Consider the following 21,038-nt stretch of genomic DNA (forward strand, 5'->3'; position numbering starts at 1 on the left):
ATGCTAATCTCCAAGACAATGGAGAAAATGTCTCCAGGACATTTCAGAGAACTTTGTGGCAGCCCCTCCTATCACAGGCCCAGAGGCCTAGGAGGAAAAAATGGTTTTGTGAGTTGAGCCCAGGGCCCCCCTGCTGTGTGCAGACTAGGGACTTGGACCCCTGTGTCCCAGCTGCTCTACTCATAGCTAAAAGGGACCAACGTACAGCTTAGACCATAGCTTCCAAGGGGGCAAGTCCCAAGCCTTAGCAGCTCCCACATGGTGTTGAGCCTGTGGGTGCCCAGAAGTCAAGAATTGAGGTTTGGGAACCTCTGCCTAGACTTCAGAATGTATGGGAACGCCTGCATGTCCAGGCAGAAGTTTGCTGCAGGGTGAGGTCCTCATGAAAAACCTCTGCTAGGGCAGTGTGGAAGGGAAATATTGGGTTGAAGCCCTTACACAGAGTCCCCACTGGGGCACTGCCTAGTGGAGCTATGAGAAGAGGGCCACTGTGCTCCAGACCACAGAATGGCAGATCCACTGAAAGCTTGCACCGTGTGCCTGAAAAAACCACAGACACTCGACGCCAGTCCGTGAAAGCAGCTGGGAGGGAGGCTGTACCCTTCAAAGCCACAGGGGCGGAGCTGCCCAAGACCATGGGAACCCACCTCTTGCAACAGCATGACCTGGATGTGAGACATGGAGTCAGAAAAGATCATTTTGGAGCTTTATGATTTGACTACTCCACTGGATTCCAGACTTGCATGGGGCCTTTAGCTCCTTCATTTTGGCCAATTTCTTCCATTTGGAATGGTTGTATTTATCCAATGCATGTACCCCCACTGTATCTAGGAAATAACTAACTTGCTTTTGATTTTACAGGCTCACAGGCAGAAGAGACTTGCCTTGTCTCAGATGAGACTTTGGACTGTGGACTTTTTGAGTTAATGCTGAAATGAGTTAAGACTTTGGAGGACTGTTGCGAAGGCATGATTGGTGTTGAAATGTGAGGACATGAGATTTGCGAGGGGCCAGGGTGGAATGATATGATTTGGCTGTGTCCCCACCCAAATCTCATTTTGAATTATAGTTCCCATAATTCCCACGTGTTGTGGGAGGGACCTGGTGAAAGATAACTGAATCATAGGGCCGGTTCCCCAACACTGTTTTCATGCTAGTGAATAAGTCTCATGAGAGCTGATGGTTTTATAAGGGGTTTCCCCTATCTCTTGGCTCTCATTCTCGTCTGCCACCATATAAGACATGCCTTCCACCTTCCGCCATGATTGTGAAGCCTCCCCAGTCATGTGGAACTATAAGTCCATTAAACCTCTTTTTGCTTTATAAATTACCCAGTCTCGGGTATGTCTTTAATGGCAGCATGAAAACAGATTAATACAATTGTGCCACTGCACTCTAGCCTGGGTGACACAGTGAAACCCTGTCTCAAAATAAAATAATAAAACAAAATAAACAAAAAAGGTAGCAAAAACTTTAATAAGAAATTGCCTGAAACACACATCTAAACAGATTTGTGAAAACCATATAAAATTGTATACATACATTAAACAATATTTTTCTACATGTATAGCACACAAAACATTTTTCTAACTACTTTTATATTTATCATTTATTTTTAATTTTTTTGTTTTAGAGAGGAGGTTTTGCTATGTTGCCCAGGCTGGTCTCGAACTCCTGGGCTCAAGTGATCCTGCCACCTCAGCCTTCTAAAGTGCTAGAATTACAGGTGAGAACCGCCATGCCCAGCCTTTTTTTTTTCTTTTTTTTTTTTTCTGAGACAGAGTCTCCCTGTTACCCAGGCTGGAGTGCAGTGGCACAATCTAGGCTCAATGCAACCTCCACCTCCCAAGTTCAAGCAATTCTCATGCCTCATCCTCCCAAGTAGCTGGGATTACTGGCATGCGTCACCACACTCGGCTAATTTTTTGTATTTTTACTAGAGACAGGATTTCGCCATGCTGGCCAGGCTGGTCTCGAACTACTGACAGTGATCCACCCACCTCAGTAACCCAAAGTGCTAGGAACTACAGGCATGAGTCACCATGCCCAGCTCTATCACATATTTTTAAGGTCTCACTATGTTGCTTTTACATTTCTTTTCACTATCCTCATAACATCCACATGAGGAAATACAGAATAACCCTCATTTTAGAGATGGGAAAACTGAGGCTCCGAAAGGATGAAGTTCTCTGCCACAGCCTACAGTAAGCAGGTCAAAGAGGCTGGTGGCAGCATGACATGGTAGAAAAACACATATTATGGAATCACATAGACACAGGAATCTAAACTTAGCTCTACTACTAGCTATGTGACTTGAGCCAGTTACTCAACTTTTCTGAGTCTGTTTCCTCATTTGTAAAATGCTATTAATACCATCACTTCGTTGGAATGTCATGAGGATTTAGAAAGATACTATTTAAATGTATAGTATAATGCTTTGGCATGGGGTTAAGTGGTTCTGATGTTCTTCTCATAACCTTCTTACGTAGACTTTGGGAAAGCCCTGGAAGAATTCTTTGTTAGCAGATTTAATTCTGAGTCCATCACAGGACAAAATACTTCTGTTCCACCATTACTTACCTAAAACAAAGCCAACCTGAATGGCTTTTTCCTTTACTGCAGCATCTGATTCTGCTATATAAGAGCACCGCCTACTGAATGAGTAGGCCAAGACTGAAGCAACTTTAACACCATGATCCATCAAAGCCTGAAAACAATGATGAAGCAAATGTCTGTAAGAAAAGAAAAAGATTATTTTATAGAGTTAATTTATTTTTCTCCTTTTAGAAAGTGCTAACTGCTTCTCTTTTAAATAATAGCACCATTATTTTCCAGGACGGAATAAGATAAAAAGCATTTTGCCTTATCAATTACAAGGCCATAATTCAAAATTTAGCCTAATCTCTTCACTCAGTGGATAACTGAGTGATCCTACAACATTCAGGAAAAGTACACAATGTGTAACTTGATGACAAGGAAGGATGAAGCTAACTTTTAAAATTGGCTTTTAAAAACCAAATTATAATTCACAATAAAAAGGTACATAACCCAGTTTTTAAAAGGCAATGAAGATAGAAGAGTTTTTTTTGTTTTGTTTTGTTTTTTTTTTTTTTTTTTGAGATGGAGTCTCACTCTGTTATCCAGGCTGGAGTGCAGTGGCGTGGTCTCGGCTCATTGCAATCTCCACCTCCCTGGTTCAAGCGATTCTCCCGCCTCAGCCTCCCAAGTAGCTGGAACTACAGGTACGTGTCACCATGCCCAACTAATCTTTTTTGTATTTTTAGTAGAGACAGGGTCTCACCATGTTAGCCGGGATGCTCTCAATCTCTTGACCTTGTGATCTACCCACCTCGGCCTCCCAAAGTGCTGGGATTACAGGTGTGAGCCACCACGCCTGGCTGATATGAACAGATATTTCTCCACAAAAGATATATAAATGCCAATAAACACGAAATAAGAGGCTCAACATCATTAATGATTAGGGAAATGCAAACCAAAATCATGAGATACCCCTTTACACCCAATAGAATTTTTAAAAATATTTTATTTATTTATTATTTATTTATTTATTTATTTATTTATTTATTTATTTATTTATGTTTTAGAGACAAGGTCCTGCTCTGTCATCCAGGCTGGAGAGAAGTGGCATGATCATAGCTCACTGTAGCCTTGAACTGGTCTCAATTAAGATCCTCCTGCTTCAGCCTCCACAGTAGCTGGGACTATGGATGCCTGTCACTGCACCCTGCTATAATTTTTTTTGAAGTGTTGTCATGAGGTGAAAAAACGGGAACCCTCATACATTGGCGGTGGGATTATAAAATGATATGGCTGCTGTGAAAAAGTGTAGTGGTTCCTCAAAAAGTTAATCATAGGGTTACCATATTATACACCCTAGGTATATACTCAAGAGAATTGAGACTATATACACACAAAATATTGTCCAACCACATTCACAGCAGCATTATTCATAATAGCCAAAAGGTGGAAACAACTCAAATGTTCATGAACAGATGACTGGATAAGCAAAATGCAGTATTATCCTTACGATGGAAAATTATTCAGCCATAAAAAAGGAAAGTAGTACTGATGCAAGCAACAACATGAATGAACCTTAAAAACATTATGCTAAGTGTCAGTCACAAAAGACCATATAAGAATCAACTTATATAAAATATCTAGACTAGGCAAATCCAGAGAGACAGAAAGTAGATTAATGGTCAGCTAGAAACTGAGGAAAAAGTTACTGTTAACTGAGGAAATGGTCAGCCAAGAGGAAATGGAGTTGACTGTTAATGATTTCTTTTTGTGGTGACCAAATTTTCTAGAATTAGACAGTGGTGATGGTTACAAAATCTTGTGAATAGTTGAATGGTAGAATTTAAATTGGTGAATTTTATAGTGTGTGAATCACATTTCAATAGAAAAAAAACCTTTTAAACAAAATTGTAAGAGTCACTGCTTTGGGTAAAGGAAAAAAAGGTCAAATTACATGCTTTTAGTTTCACAAATACATAAAACACTTACCAAAGGATTTGGACTTGGTGAAAGATAACCTAAGAGATGAAAAAGAGGTATTCCACTGAATCTTTACAACAGCCACGTTTAAAACTACCTACAGAGATTCAAATCCCCAAAAGCTATCCTTTCTTTAGAGTAAGGAATGTTTTTAAAAGTTTTTCTAGTCTTCTTTTACCAAAATGAGAAGTTCTTATTTATTAGATTTTTTTTTACAGCCTAACTTTAATCAACTAATCAAGAAGTTTCTCTATAATCTTAGCACACAGGCCACATTTCAAAGTTACCCTTGAACACTGAAATCATGCTGTTTACTTACTTATTTTATTTTTTTTGAGACAGAGTCTCACTCTGTCACCCAGGCTGGAGTGCAGCGGTGTGATGTTGGCTCACTGCAACCTCCGCCTCCCGGGTTCAAGTGATTCTCCTGCCTCAGCCTCCCGAGTAGCTGGGATTACAGGCATGAGCTACCACGCCCAGCTAATTTTTGTATTTTTAGTAGAGACAAGATTTCAGCATGTTGGCCAGGCTGGTCTTCAACTCCTGACCTCAGGTGATCCACCCACCTTGGCCTCCCAAAGTGCTGGGATTACAGGTGTGAGCCACCACGCCCAGCCGACTTACTTGTTTATTATCTTATCATCTCTCTCTAAAATACAAACTCCATGAGGAAGGGACCTTGTGGATCCTACTCACTGCTATGGCCCCAGCATCTAAAACAGTATCTGGAAAATGTGCTATATATACACAATGGTGTACTATTTGGCCATAAAAAAGAATGAGATCCTGTCATCTGCAACAACACGGATGGAACTGTATGGTAAGTAAAAGAAGCCAGCCAAGGAAAGAACAACTTTGCATGTAGTCACTTATTTGTGGGAGCTAAAAATTAAAATAATTGCATTCATGGATATAGAGAGGAGAAGGATGGTTACCAGAGGCTGGGAAGGGTAACTGGGAGAGGGGGGCAAATGAAGATGGTTAATGGGTACAATAAAATAGAAAGAATGAATAAAATCTAGTATTTGCTAACACAACAGGATTATAGTAAAAAATAATTTAGTTCTACATTTTAATAACTGAAAGAATATAACTGGATTGTCTGTAACACAAAGAATAAATGCTTGAGGTGATGAACACCTCATTTATCTTGATGTGATTATTACACATTGCATGCTTGTATCAAAGTATCTTATGTAACCCATAAATATATGCACCTAATATGTATGTACTATGTACCCCCAAAAACTTAAAATAAAACAGTACCTGGAACATATTAGGCACTCAGCAAGTATTTATTTAATTTGTTGAATAAATGCTAACAACTTGGTAAGATTCTTATTAGAGATCAGCAGTATTTTGTGAAACTATATTCTTATTTTCCTAGAAATGTGGGTTAGGAAATAAAATGGCAGTTAAACTTAGGGAAGAACACTAAAGAGAACAGCAAGCAGACCAGGCACGGTGGCTCACACCTGTAACCCCAGCACTTTGGGAGGCCAAGGCAGGTGGATGGCTTGAGCTTAGGAGTTTGAGACCAGCATGGGCAACATGGCGAAACCCCATCTCTACTAAAAATACAAAAAATTACCCAGGCGTGGTGGGGCATGCCTGTATTCCCAGCTACTTGGGAGTATCACCTGAGCCCTGGAAGTCGAGGCTACAGTGAGCCATGATCTTGCCACTGCACTCCAGGCTGGGTGATGGAAGTGAGACCCTGGCTCCAAAAAAAAAAAAGAACAGCAAGTACAATGAAAAGCCAGATCTGTAGCTACTACTACTACATGATGATACTTAAAACGGGAAGATGAATTCAATCTCCCTTTCTTGAACTCAAAAAGCTAAACTTCCAAAGTGTTAACTTTCCAAAGGGGATAGAAGGAGGCAGAACAAATTATCTTCTCTTTGTCACCAAGCTTCTGTTTGGGTTGTACAATTACTGCCACAATATTTTTACTATATTCTCTATGATGCTGGCAAAGACTTCTTGAGTTGTCTTAAATTGCTTTCAAATTCTACTTCTAGGTATGTATCTAATAGATATGCATACATATGTTCACCAAAAAACATTTACAAGAATGTTCAGGGCAGCAAGAGTTATAATAGCTAAAAAGTGGAAACAGCCCAAATGTCCATCAATAATAGAATGAATAATACTGTATTCACATAATAAAACACCATATATATATACAGCAACAAGAATGAACACACTGTAATTGCACATAACATAGGTGATTCTCATAAAACAATACTGGGGGAAAAAAAAGCCAGACACAAAAGGGCACAAACTGTATAATTGTATTTAATATGTTCTAAAATACATAAAATGAATCTAGTGGTTACCCTAGGGGAGGGGAAGTAGTGACTGGAAAAAGACAAGACAGGGGTTCTGGTAACAACTGCAAATAAACATAATTCATAGTGAAATAATACCAGGTATATGGAAAAACTAATTGAGACAATTTCTCAATGAAACAACTTTATAGATTTATATTGGTACTATACTTATGAGGCAAAATTATTTTATCCACTCTAAATTTTCTGATATAATCATATTTATGAAATAATTTCTAAACCACATAAGAAATTAGTCAAAAATAAACGTAACTTCATGCATTAAAAAGAGGTGTAATGGAATTTTAAAAAACAAGTAACCTAAAAATGAAATTTATGTCCCAGCACTTTGGAAGACTGAGACAAGAGGATCACTTGAGCCCAGGAGTTCGAGACCAGCCTGGGCAACACAGCGAGACCTCATCTCTACTAAAAATAAAAAAATTAGCTGGGTGTGATAGCATGCGCCTATAGTCCCAGCTACTCAGGAGGCTGAGGTGGGAGGATGGCTTTGAGCCAAGGAGAGTTTGAGTTTGCAGTGAGCTACGAACATGCCACTGAACTCCATCCTGGCAACAGAACAAGACTGTGTCTCAAAAAAAAAAAAAATATGGAAAACAGTATGACAGTTCCTCAAAAAAACTGGAAATAAGAGTTGGGTGCAGTGGCATAGCGCCTTTAGTCCCAGCTAGCAGAGAGGCTGAAAAACGAGGATCCCTTGAGCCCAGGAGTTCGAGGGCAGCCTGTACAACATAGTCAAACTAAGTCTCTTAAAAAATAAACAAAAGTAGAATTACCATATAATCCAGCAATTCAACTTCTGAGTATATAACCAAAATAACTGAAGGCAGGGGCTTGAAGAGATATTTCTACGCTCATGTTCACAGCAGTATTATTCACACTAGCCAAAAGGTAGAAAGAACCCAAATATCCATTGACAGATGAATAGATAAACAAAATGTGGTATATGCACACAATGGAATATAATCTAGCCATAAAAAGAAATGAAATTCTGACTTGTACTACAACATAGATAAACCTTAAAAACATTATGCTAAATGAAATACAATACACACAAAAGGATAAACATTATAAGGATTCCACTTATATGGGAAATCAGAGAAGTCAAACTCATCTAAAGTACAATGGTGGCTACACAGGATAAGGGAAAGAGAGAATGGGGAGTTACTATTTAGTGGGTAAGGAGTTTTTGTTCAGGGTGATTAAAAAGTTCTGGAAATGAATGGTGTTGATGGTTGCACAATGTGAATATACTTTTTTTTTTTTTTTTTGAGACGGAGTCTTGCTCTGTCACCCAGGCTGGAGTGCAGTGGCGCGATCTTGGCTCACTGCAAGCTCCGCCTCCCAGGTTCACGCCATTTTCCTGCCTCAGCCTCCCAAGTAGCTGGGACTAAGGCGCCTACCACCACGCCCAGCTAATTTTTTGTATTTTTAGTAGAGACAGGGTTTCATCACGTTAGCCAGGAAGGTCTCGATCTGACCTCGTGATCTGCCCACCTCAGCCTCCCAAAGTGCTGGGATTACAGGCGTAAGCCACAGCACCCAGCCCACAATGTGAATATACTTAATGCCACTCAATTCGGTTAAAATGGTAAATTTTATGTTATGTATATTTTACAATTTTTTAAAAAAGAATTTACCTTTTATCCAAAGCTCTCAGTACTTTAGCAAAAACTTCCAATTCACAAAATTCACTGCCCAGTTGACATAAGCGTCCCTGTTGGTAAAGCTGAAATAAAAAACAAATGATTTAAAAATTTTGCAATTTAATTCTTCTTTTTACTTTAATCATATTTGATAAATGTAATTTGATTAATTTCAGGAAAGATGCTTATGTTAAGAGAAATGTAACACTAACAAATTTCTACAATTCATATAAAAATATTTTAATAGTTGCATATAATCGTTACAAATTGGTATTTGTAAACCACCTAGAACAGTACCTGGAACATGGCAAGTACTACAAAGTGCTGTATAATTATGTATTCATTAAATACAGATAAAAATCATGTTAAACTGTTAACTTTTTTACTTAAACAAAACTGGAGAGTCGGTGTAAAATTATCAAAATAATAGCAAAGATAATGTCCAGAAAACAGAGCTGGTCAATATGGCCACCTCAAAAATCTCAGTTCAGTCCTGGTTATAACACGTCAAAAACACACCAATAGTAGAGCATGTCAATAGTAATACAGGATGGCAGGATTTCTAATTATGCCATAATCGTTTATACATTCTGACTTTTTAGAACTACAATTTAAAATAACATTTTAAGGCTGGGCGCTGTGGTTTGATCCTGTCATTCCAGCTACTAAGGAGGCAAAGGAGGGAGTATTGCTTGAGGCCAGAGTTTGAGACAGGCCTGGGCAACATAGCAAGACCCTATTTATAAAATATAAATAAATTCGCTAGGTGTGGTGGCATGCACCTGTAGTCTCAGCTATTTGGGAGGTTGAGGCAAGGGGACTGCTTGAGCCCAGGAGTTGGAGACCAGCCTGGGCAACATAGTGACACCCTGTCTCTAGAATACACAGCCTGGGTGAGAGTGAGACCCTGTCTCAAAAAAATTATAAATAAATAAACAGAAAGACAAATACTATTGTCCCTCCCTGCAACCCCGCCTCAATGTCACCAAATGCTTTTTGAGACAGTCTTGCTCTGTTGCCCAGGCAATACAATACCCAAGAGTGTGTAGTGGTGCAATCTCGGCTCACTGCAACCTCTGCCTCCCGGGTTCAAGCAATCCTCCCACCTCAGCATCCCTAGTAGCTAGGATTACAGGCATGCATCACCATGCCTAATTTTTTTTTTGTATTTTTAGTAGAGACGGGGTTTCACCATGTTGGCCAGGCTGGTCTTGAACTCCTGACCTCAAGACCAAATGCTTCTAAATTTACACATGCTATATAAATAATACAGTGCCTTAGAAAGCAGGATTTATTTGACTTTATATTACAGGCATTTAACAGCTCAGTTGATGAGAACATGGGTTTCATAAAGAAAACAAGGTCACTCTCCAAATGGGCCAGTTTACTTGGTGCATGGAAAACATAATAAAACCTCAGCACACTCCTGGGCATAAATCACTAGTCACAATGGAGGTCAGGTCGAATTAGGTAAATATATTAATCCAAATCCATAATGACTGCTTCAAAAAATCTGTAACTCCTGGAGGGGAGAGGGGACAGGGACCACCACATGCTCACGAAGGAAAGGCAGAAATGTTATCTTCATGTAATAGTTAGACATTTATGTTAACATTAAAACCTTCAGCAAGAAAGATTTGTTATTTTTATTTATTTATTTATTTATTTTTTAATGGTCTTACTCTGTCATCCAGGCTGCAGTATAGTGGCACAATTATAGCTCAATGCAGCACTGCAGTCTCAAACTCCTGGGCTCAAGTGATCTTCCTGCCTCAGACTCTCTGAGTGCTGGGGTTACAGGCGTGAGCCACTGCGTTCAGCCTATATTTGCTATCCTTATAGAGGACTCTGTTTTCTGCTATAGAAAAGTAAGAGCTTCTGGGAATGCATGCTGTAAAATTCACTACTATTAACTGCTGTCTTATTTACTTGACAACCAAAACAGAATAACTCAGGGAAAGTAAAGCTGAGAACTTACGACCACATTCTTATAACATGGGCTTAACAAGGTGATAAATTTCTGATTTGCGACACAACAGTTACCAAAATAAATACAAACATACACTCCAAAAACACTAAGACAACAATCTTAGCTTCTTACCAAAATGACTGACTTTTCATTATCAAACTTAAGGCTTAGAATTTCTTTTTAAAAAAAGAATAAACAGGCTGGGCATGGTGGCTCACGCCTGTAATCCCAGCACTTTGGGAGGCCAAGGGGGGGTGGATCAGCTGAGGTCAACAGTTCAAGACCAGACTGGCCAACATGGAGAAATCCTGTCTCTACTAAAAATATAAAAATTAAACAGGCCATGGTGGCAGGCACCTGTAATCCCAGCTACTCGGGAGGCTGGGAGAGAATCGCTTGAACTCGTAAGACAGGTTGCAAGGAGCCAAGATCGCGCCACTGCACTCCAGCCTGGGTGATGGAGCAAAACTCTGTCTCAAAAAAAACAAAAAAAGAATAAACAAAAACAAGTTATACAACTACTTTGCCTAAAAACAAAATTTTATGTTATCTTACAATTCACTGCATTCCTTTAATGACTGAAACTGGTGTATCCTACTAAATGAGAGTCTATATTTGATATTTGGCTGTTTAAATTTTCTTTTTTTTTTTTTTTTGGGACAGAGTCTCTCACTCTGTCACCAGGTTGGAGTGCAGTGGCATGATCTCAGCTCACTGCAACCTCCACCTCCTGGGTTCAAGCGATTCTCCTGCCTCAGCCTCCCGAATAGCCTGGACTACCGGCGCGGGATACCACGCCCAGGTAATTTTTGTATTTTTAGTGGCGACAAGGTTTCAACATGTTAGCCAGGATGGTCTCGATTTCTTGACCTCATGATCCGCCCGCCTCAGCCTTCCAAAGTGCTGGGATTACAGGCATGAGTTTCTCTAGTTAAAATGCGCTCACATTTAAATTGACGGGAAAGGGTAATTTGTTTCAACTCATCCTTACCAAGTTTATCTAAAAAATGCAAAGTAATTTTTTTTTTTTTGAGACAGAGTTTTGCTCTTGTTGCCCAGGCTGGAGTACAGTGGCGTGACTGACTCACTGCAACCTCCACCTCTCAGGTTCAAGTGATTCCCTTGCTTCAGCCTCTGGAGTAGCTGGGATTACAGGCGCCCGCCACCACGCCCAGCTAATTTTTGTATTTTTAGTAGAGATGGGGTTTCACCATGTTGGCCAGGCTGGTCTTGAACTCCTGACCTCAGGTGATCCGCCTGCCTTAGCCTCCCAATGTGCTGGGATTATAGGTGTCTGCCACCGTGCCCGGCCTGAAATTAAGACATTTTATGAATTAAAGGGGTTTTTGGATACCAATCCAGAAAAAAAATAACTTCTAATCTTTTATGTGTCAGGCACTGTTGTCAGTGCTTTTCATAAATTATTCATTTTATCCTTTTACAGATGAGGAAACTGAGTCATATACAGTTAAATAACCTTCTCAAAATCATATAATTAGGATGGGCAAAGCAGGAATCTTACCCAGGCAGTCTGTCCCTACATCCATGTTCTTAACAACTTACCCTATATTGCCTCTTGAAGATAATATAAAAGGAAATTTTTAAAAGTATTAAATGGACAATTTAAAATATTTTTATAGAAATGATGGAAGATTTAAAGGTTAATCCCCTCATAGATTCAAACATCTTATGAAACAGAGCTTAGAAGAGAGGAAACTGATACTTTTTGTTCCAGTAATGATTCTCATATAAGATTTTTAAAACTTATTTTAGTTTATATTATGTACCCGTAGCATAATGAAGCTATTAAAGGGCTATATCAACCACTTTCAGCTGTTCCTACCTTAAACAAAAGGGAAAACAAGCTTATTTCTAGAAGTAGGCAAATTATCACCCACCAGATATAAAAACAGATAATAAAATACAATTAAAACAGTATTATACAGTTATGAAGATAGATCAACCAACAGAACAAAATGCAAAGTTCAAAAACAGACCTTAGTGTATATAAATATCAACGTATGACAAAAGAAGCATTTTAAGATCACTGAGGAAAGAAAAAAATTACTTAATAAAGAGTGCATAAAAATGGGTAAACAAAGATGCCTACCTGATAAAATGTAACAAAAAGGAATTCCAGATTTATCAAAGTTTTAAATGGTAAAAAATTATATCATAGCAGTATTAAAAGCTACCTGCTAACATTGCTTTCCTAAGCATCACATCACATAAAATTCAAGATCAGCCTGGCCAACATGGCGAAACCCTGACTATACCAAAAATATAAAAATCAGCCCGGCATGGCTGCGTGTCCCAGGTACTTGGGAAGCTGAGGCATAAGAATTGCACAAAGTCAGGAGGCGGAGGTTGCAATAAGCTGATATTGCGCACTGCACTCCAGCCTGGGTGACACTGAGACTCTTGTCTCAAAAACAACCAACCAACCAAAAAACACCTATGTTCTAAGAAAAACTGAAGGCACATAATTGCATGCACACACTCACACATACCAATGAAACCTGTGCATCTCATTCATGTTTGGAACTTTCTCAGAGAGTCTTTAAATAGCCAAAACTTCAGAAATGAAAAGGGGTTGTTATCAAGGAAAAATGGCCATGTTATATGAAGTGAACAAGTTCCTGAAACGTGTAATAAAATTCCACTTTTGCTTCTAAATTGTATATCTACATTATATATGCATCCATATAAAAATCTGAAATAATACAATGCTTATATATATGGTATAGGATTAATATCTCAAATATTTCACCTAGATTACTGTAAAGGTTTGATAGAATTAGTCCCTCCATTACCACTCTTGTCTCCCTCAAAATTACGGTCCACACAGTAACCAGAATAATCTTGTAAAAAAGTAACTCATATCATGCCATTCTCTTGTTTAAAACCTTTATTTAAATGGCACCCCCAATGTAGAACATAATCCAAAATCTTTTCTTTTTGAGACGGAGTCTCGCTCTGTCGCCTAGGTTGGAGTGCAGTGGCACGATCTTGGCTCACTGCAAGCTCCGCCTCCCGCGTTCACGCCATTCTCCTGCCTCAGCCTCCAGAGTAGCTGGGACTACAGGCGCCTGCCACCATGGCCAGCTCATTTTTTGTATTTTTAGTAGAGACGGGGCTTCACGGTGTTAGCCAGGATAGTTTCGATCTCCTGACCTTGTGATCCGCCCACCGTGGCCTCCCAAAGTGCTGGGATTAGAGGTGTGAGCCATCGCGCCTGGCCCATAATCCAAAATCTTTATTAATGTTACCTCTGAGATCCTAAAAGCCACCTGACCCCTGCGGTTTTTTTTTTTTTTTTTTTTTTTTTTTGAGATGGAGTTTCACTCTTGTTGCCCAGGCTAGAGTGTAGTGGTGCCACTTGGGATCACTACCTCTGCCTCCCGGGTTCAAGCAATTCTCATGCCTCAGTCTCTTGAGTAGCTGGGATTACAGGCGCCCGCCACCATGCCCAGCTAATTTCTGTATTTTTAGCAGAGATGGGGCTTCACCATGTTGGCCAGGCTGTTCTCGAACTCCTGACCTAGGTGATCCACCTGCCTCGGCCTCCCAAAGTGCTGGGATTACAGGTGTGAGCCACCATGCCTGGCCTTTCTTTTTTTTTTCTCCCTGGGAGACAGTCTGGCCTCTGTCTCACAAGCTGGAGGGCAGTGGCATGATCATGACTCACTGGAGCCTCAATCTCCTTCCTGGGCTCAAGCAATGCACCCACCTCAGCCCCAGATAGTAGCTGGTACTACAGGCATGCACAACCATGCCTGGCTAATTTTTCCATTTTTTCTGTAGAGATGGGGTCACACTATGTTGCCTAGCCTGGTGTACAAACTCTTGGGCTCAAGTGATACTCCCACCTAGGCCTCCCAAAGTGCTGGGATTACCGGCCTGAGCCACTGCCCCTGGCCTTGACGCCTGCCTATATTTCTGACCTCATCGTTTACTATTGTTTCTCCCTGTCTCCTACACTCCTGCCACCTTAGCTTTCTTTTGGCTCATAACTTTTGCACACATATGCTACTACCTCTACATGAAGCACTGGTAACATGATTCTTTGCCTGGTTAGTTTATAACTCATCCAAATCCTCTCAACTACACTATGTCACTTCCTCACAGAGCTCTTCCCCTGACTCAGCAATCTAAATTCTATGTCCTGTTAAACTTTCTCATGACACACTGTTTTTTTTACCTCCACAGTAGCATTAAGACATGCATGCATTCACTTAAACAGTCATTTGTTAAATATATTATTCCATCACACTCTACATTCTATGAGGTGACTACAGTCACCACTATATTCCCAATACCTAGCACAGTGCCTAGTACAAGATATACATTCAATATTTTCTTTTTTAAAAAAAACATTTTCCCCCCGGGCGCGGTGGCTCGCGCCTGTAATGCCAGCACTTTGGGAGGCCGAGGCGGGCAGATCACGAGGTCAAGAGATCGAGACCATCCTGGCCAACATGGTGAAACCCCGTTTCTACTAAAAATACAAAAATTAGCTGGGCGTGGTGGCGGGTGCCTGTAGTCCCAGCTACTTGGGAAGCTGAGGCAGGAGAATCTCTTGAACCTGGGAGGCAGAGGTTGCAGTGAGCTGAAATCACGCCACTGCACTCCAGCCTGGCGATAGAGCAAGACTCCATCTCAAAAAAATAAAAATTTTTTCTTTCTTCTCTTTTCAAAAATTTTAGATTCAGGGGTACATTTGCAGGCTTGTTACACGGTTATATTGCATAATGCTGGGGTGTGGGCTTCAAGTGAACCCATACCCAAGTAGCAAAACAGTACCCAGTAAGTAGTTTTTCAATCCTTGCCACATTAAATATTTTTCTTTTTTCTTTTTTTTTTTTTGAGACAGAGTCTCATTCCATCACCCAAGCTAGAGTGCAGTGGCAAAATCTTGACTCACTTCAACCTCTGCCTCCTGGGTTCAAGTGGTTCTCGTGCCTCAGTCTCCCAAATAGCTGGGATTAAAGGCATGTACCACCATGCCCGGCTAATTTTTATACTTTTAGTAGAGATGGGATTTTGCCATGTTGGCCAGGCTGGTCTAGAACTCCTGACCTCACGTGAGCTGCCCACCTCAGCCTCCCAAAGTGCTGGGATTACAGGCATGAGCCACAATGCCTGGCCCCCTTAAATATTTTCTAAATGAATAACCCAAATTGGTACTTAATTACTTTGGATGGAACTCAGAACCTCAGAAGACACAAAAAAATTCAAGACACAGTCTCTACTCTGGAGTTTATAATTAGGGAATCAATTATTTAGTATTGTTATTATATTACATCCTTATTTACTGAAATTATCGAGATTAACCCGGTTGGTAAATTTGATACTTTGGGAAAAACCTCACTTTCACACAGTTGACTACTGCCTCTCCAATCAGACTATAAGCACCTTTCATTTTCATGTTTTTGAATCAGGGTCTCACTGTCACCTTGGCTGGAGTACAGTGGCGTGATCATAGCTCACTGCAGCCTCCAACTCCTGGGCTCAAGAGATTCTCCCACCTCAACCTCCCAAGTAGCTACAACTAAAGACACACCCTGCTACACCCAGCCAAGTTGTTTCTTTTTTTTCCTTCTTTTTTTTTTTTTTGGAGACAGGGTCTCACTCTGCCACCCAGGCTGGAGTGCAGTGGTGAAATCCCAGCTCACTGCAGCCTCCGCTTCCTGGGCTCAAGCGATTCTCCAGCCTCAGCCTCCGGAGTAGCTGGGACTACAGGTGCGAGCCACCAATGCCTGGCTAATTTGTGTAGTTTTTGGTAGAACTGTTCTCTGATTTCAAAAAATTTAGAATCTTTCAGAACAGAAAAATAATGTTCACAGATTATATGATGAAGGTAGGCAAACTGCTTTAAGAATACAGATAAAATATCCACTCCAAGAACTTCAGATGCAGAGGAATTGCTAGTAACACTTCTAGCAATATGGCACATAGCACTGACAAAGATGCTAACCTTTCAACCCTTTTTCGGACACAGAAAGGCTGGATATATATTTAAAAAAAATCACAAAATAACTTTTGGATAAATAGCTAAATTGAAACCAAGCATAGAAACTCCACAGTTGCCAAAAATTAAGAAAACACAAACTTGAAAGCAGCTAGGAAAGAAGGAAAACAGAGTAGTTTATACCTCTGAATGGTTTCAAGCTAGAGTATCAAAGACCAGAAAGGAGCTGAGGCAGCATATCCTGTAAGCAAAGAGACCTGGAGATTAACTACCTGCCTAAAGAAGTCTAACTACCTGCCTAAAGAAGTCTAGAACATCTCCTCTAGCTTTAGCAGTCTCCTATGAAAAACTGAAACCTCCAGTCCAGGACACACATGGGTACCTAGTCCAAATTGATACTACCTAGATGATTTACAGACCCCAAACTCAGAATCTGGCATTAAAAACTAGCCTGAAACCAGTGAAACCCATGAAGTCCCCAGACAGACAAATGCAAAAACACCCAGGTGTTTCTGAGGGGAGATGAAAATGCTGTATATACTGATCAGCAAAATCTAGACTTCAGGAAACTCTTTAAAGTCTACAGGACAAACGAATGTGTTTCTTAACAAGTAAATTGCAAAGAAAATAAAACAGAAGGAAAGGTAAACTATAGATCAAGAGAGACTCAAGAGGTGTATCAAGAAAATGCTAACATGTGGAACTTACCTGCATCCTGATCCAAACAAGCAAACTATAAAAATATACACATTTGAGTCCAGGAGTGGTGGCTCATGGCTGTAATCCCAGCACTTTGGGAGGCTGAGGCAGGTGGATCACAAGGTCAGGAGTTCAAGACAAACTTGGCCAGCATGGTGAAACCCCATCTCTAATAAAAATACAAAAATTGGCCAGGCATGGTGGTGTGTGCCTGTAGTCCCAGCTACCAGGAGGCTAAGGCAGGAGAATTGCTTGAACCTGGGAGGCGGAGGTTGTAGTGAGCCGAGATTGCGCCACTGCACTCCAACCTGGGCGACAGAGCGAGACTCCGTCTCAAAAAAAAAAAAAACATGTTTGAAACAACTGAAAATTTGAACAGTGACTGTACATTTAAGAACATTAAGGAATTACTGTTCATTTTCCTCAGGTGTTATAATAGTGTGGTAGTTACTAAAATATTTCTAGATGAAATTACCTGGCCAGGTGTGGTGGCTCACGCCTGTAATCCCAGCACCTTAGGAGGCCTAGGCAGGCGGATCACCTGAGGTTGGGAGTTTGAGACCAGCCTGACTAACATAGAAAAACCCCATCTCTACTAAAAATACAAAATTAGCCGGGCGTGGTGGCACATGCCTGTAATCGCAGCTACCCGGGGGGCTGAGGCAGAATTGCTTGAACCCAGGAGGTGGAGGCTGCGGTGAGCTGAGATTGCACCATTGCACTCCAGCCTGGGCAACAACAGTGAAACTCCATCTCAAAAAACACAAAAAACAACAACAAAGAAATCATCTGATGTCTAGATTTGCTTCCAAATATCACATGAAAGGGGAAAGTGAATGGGAGAACAGATTCAGTAACAAGACTGGCCAGAATCGATAATTGTTAAAGCTAGGTGATAGACATAGGAATTCATTATTCTATTCTATTTCTGTATGTATTTAACTTTTTAAAAAAGGAAGTCTTGTAAATGTATCCTTTACCTCTAACATAAAAGAATATGTTTCATTTAACAAACATGAGTTATCGTCACTTACATGATTCATTTATTATTATGCTCTGATCTCAAAACTCATCTGAAGGCTGGCACAGTGGCTCACACCTGTAATCCCAGCAATTTGGCAAGCCGAGACAAGAGGATTGCTTGAGACCAGGAGTTTGAGACCAGCCGGGGCAATGTAGCAAGACCCCCAACTCCACAAAAAATAAAAAATTAGCCAGACGTGGTAGTACATATCTGTAGTCTGAACTACTTGGGTGGCTGAGGTGGAAGGATCACTTGAGCCCTGAAGGTCAAGGCTGCAGTGAGTCATGATTATACCACTGGACTCCAGCCTGGACAACACAGCAAAATCCTGCCTCAAAACAAATAATTTTAAAAAGTAAAAAACTCATCTGATGTTGGGCGTGGTGGGTCACACCTGTAATCCCAGCACTCTGGGAGGCCAAGGTGGGAGGACTGCTTGAGCCCAGGAGTTTAAGGCCAGCCTGGACAACATAGGGAGACCCCCATCACTACAAAAAAAAAAAAAATTGGCCAAGCATGGTGGCGTGTGCCCCAGGTACTTGGGAGGCTGAGGTGGGAGGTTTGCCTGAGCCTGGGAGGTTGAGGCCGCAGTGAGCCATAATTGCTCCACTACACCAGAGCCTGGGAGACAAAGTGAGATCCTGTTTCTGGGGAAAAAAAAATCATCTGAAATGTACTCTGAAAAACATTATATTAGAATATTGATATTCCTTTTCTTTGTACTTTATACCTTACATTTAATGTCCTTTATCTGTTGCTTCATTAAAGTGTCATTTCAGATAATATTCAAATAAAAGGGCAACCCTTTACTAAAACTTAAATATGCTGTCCATTTATGATGATGATGTCACTAGGTCAATCATCCATGAAACAAGAAATTAAGAGTTTTCCCCCCCAATGGTTAAAAGAATGAACTTATGTGTATTTACCCAGATGCTCCAACTCTATACCTCACTTTATAGGTCAATGGCATAATTTTCAAGATAGTATGATTTTGTTAGTGGTAGGAGATGTTACCACAGCACAAATGGAAGTTCAAAACAAAAATCTAGTTAGATGTAAGGCCTAGTCAGTGATAACCAGTCATACATAACACAATATATACCAGCAATCTCTATATTTGGGATAAGTCTCTCAGCTTCTCTTCTTGAAGTTTCACTACCAATATGTGGTGAAAATCGGAAGTGTTTCCATGAGACAAAAGGATAGGGCAGTATAGCTATAAGAAAACACTTTCTGCCGGGCGCGGTGGCTCACGCCTGTAATCCCAGCACTCTGGGAAGCCGAGGTGGGTGGATCATGAGGTCAGGAGATCGAGACCATCCTGGCCAACATGGTGAAACCCCGTCTCTACTAAAAATACAAAAATTAGCTGGGCGTGGTGTTGTGTGCCTGTAATCCTAGCTACTCAGCAGACTGAGGCAGGAGAAACACTTGAACTCGGAAGGCAGAGGTTGCGGTGAGCCGAGATCGCATCACTGTATTCCAGCCTGGCGACAGAGCAAGACTCCATTGAAAAAAAAAAAAAAGAAAAAGAAAAAAGAAAACACTTCCTGTCTCTATAAGAAAACTCATTCTGTATTCTAGATAACCAACTGTAAAACACTTGTTTCCTCTGATTTCAGCATTTATGTTTTTAAAAACATTAGAAAATGCAGGGAATTTCAAAAATAATTGCTGATTTTTACCATCCATCTACAGAGGAAAATCACTGTCAACATAATGGCACACTTCTTTCCAGTTCTCCTTTTCTTATTGATTTGCAAGAGTTTTGAATATGCTTAATAAACTTTAATCCTCTATTATATAAAGATATATTTTTTCCCACTACACATTTTTAAAATTTTTAACGGTTCTAAGAACTGTTCTGGGGATTCTGATTAAGTTCACACTGAATATATAGATTCTGGGAAAAGTTACATCTTTGAAACCCCAAATCTTCCAATCTAGGAACAAAATATTGGCTCTTCTACATTTATTGAAGACTTTTGGGTGTCTTTTTGGTCTCACTCCTTGAGGTGTTTTTTTATTATTATTATTATTTTCTTTTTTTGAGATGGAGTCTCGCTCTGTCACCCAGGCTGGAGTACAGTGGCCCAATCTCGGCTCACTGCAAGCTCTGCTTCCCGGGTTCAAGCCATTCTCCTGCCTCAGCCTCCCGAGTAGCTGGGACTACAAGTGCCCACCACCACGCCCAGCTAATTTTTTGTATTTTTTAGTAGAGACGGGGTTTCACCGTGTTAGCCAGGATGGTGTCGCTCTCCTGACCTCGTGATCCGCCCGCCTCGGCCTCCCAAAGAGGTGTTTTATTATTTTGAGTCAGATATAATCCTTCCTATATTGCATATAGAAAAATTGAATTTTTAATTATAAACGTGTAATCAGCCCCTTTACTGAATTATCTTACTGCTATAGTTTTTCAGTTGACTTTGCTGGCTTTTTACTTATTTTAACAGTACTGGTTAGCACCTCAAGAATGTTGAATAGGGCTGGGTGCGGTGGCTCACACCTGTAATCCCAACACTTTGGGAGGCTGAGGCGGGAGGATCACGAGGTCAGAAGTTCAAGACCAGACTGGCCAACATAGTGAAACCCCGTCTCTACTAAAAATACAAAAAATAGTCGGGTGTGATGGCACGCACCTGTAGTCCCAGCTACTCAGGAGGCTGAGGCAGGAAAATAATTTGAACTCAGGAGGCGGAGGTTGCAGTGAGCCGAGACTGCCCATTACACTCCAGCCTAGGCAACAGAGTGAGACTCCATCTAAAAAAAAAAAAAAAAAAAAAAGGAAAGGAAAAGAAACGACAAAAAAAAAGAATGCTGAATATCTAGTATACAGTTTCAGAAATAAGTCTG

At 40.5% G+C, this 21,038-nt stretch overlaps 1 protein-coding gene across 4 annotated transcripts in view; it reads right to left on the reverse strand.

Annotated features, from left to right (window-relative positions):
- The window catches only part of APPBP2 (amyloid beta precursor protein binding protein 2), an 83,085-nt gene that overhangs the window by 48,728 nt on the left and 13,319 nt on the right, over positions 1-21,038 (reverse strand). Inside the window, exons 1-3 of one of the 4 annotated variants that reach the window (XM_047435116.1) lie at positions 17,168-17,327; positions 8,514-8,602; positions 2,581-2,732 (exon numbers count right to left, since the gene is read on the reverse strand). In XM_047435116.1, coding sequence (XP_047291072.1) covers positions 2,581-2,732; positions 8,514-8,602; positions 17,168-17,173 — 247 coding nt within the window. In that variant the 5' untranslated portion in view covers positions 17,174-17,327. Of the gene's footprint in view, positions 1-2,580; positions 2,733-4,527; positions 4,550-8,513; positions 8,603-17,167; positions 17,328-21,038 lie in introns of those variants that run through there. The other 3 variants (NM_006380.5, XM_047435118.1, NM_001282476.2) reach the window with 3 other exon arrangements.

This window comes from Homo sapiens, chromosome 17 (genome assembly GCF_000001405.40).
Source record: "Homo sapiens chromosome 17, GRCh38.p14 Primary Assembly".
Lineage (NCBI taxonomy): Eukaryota > Metazoa > Chordata > Mammalia > Primates > Hominidae > Homo > Homo sapiens.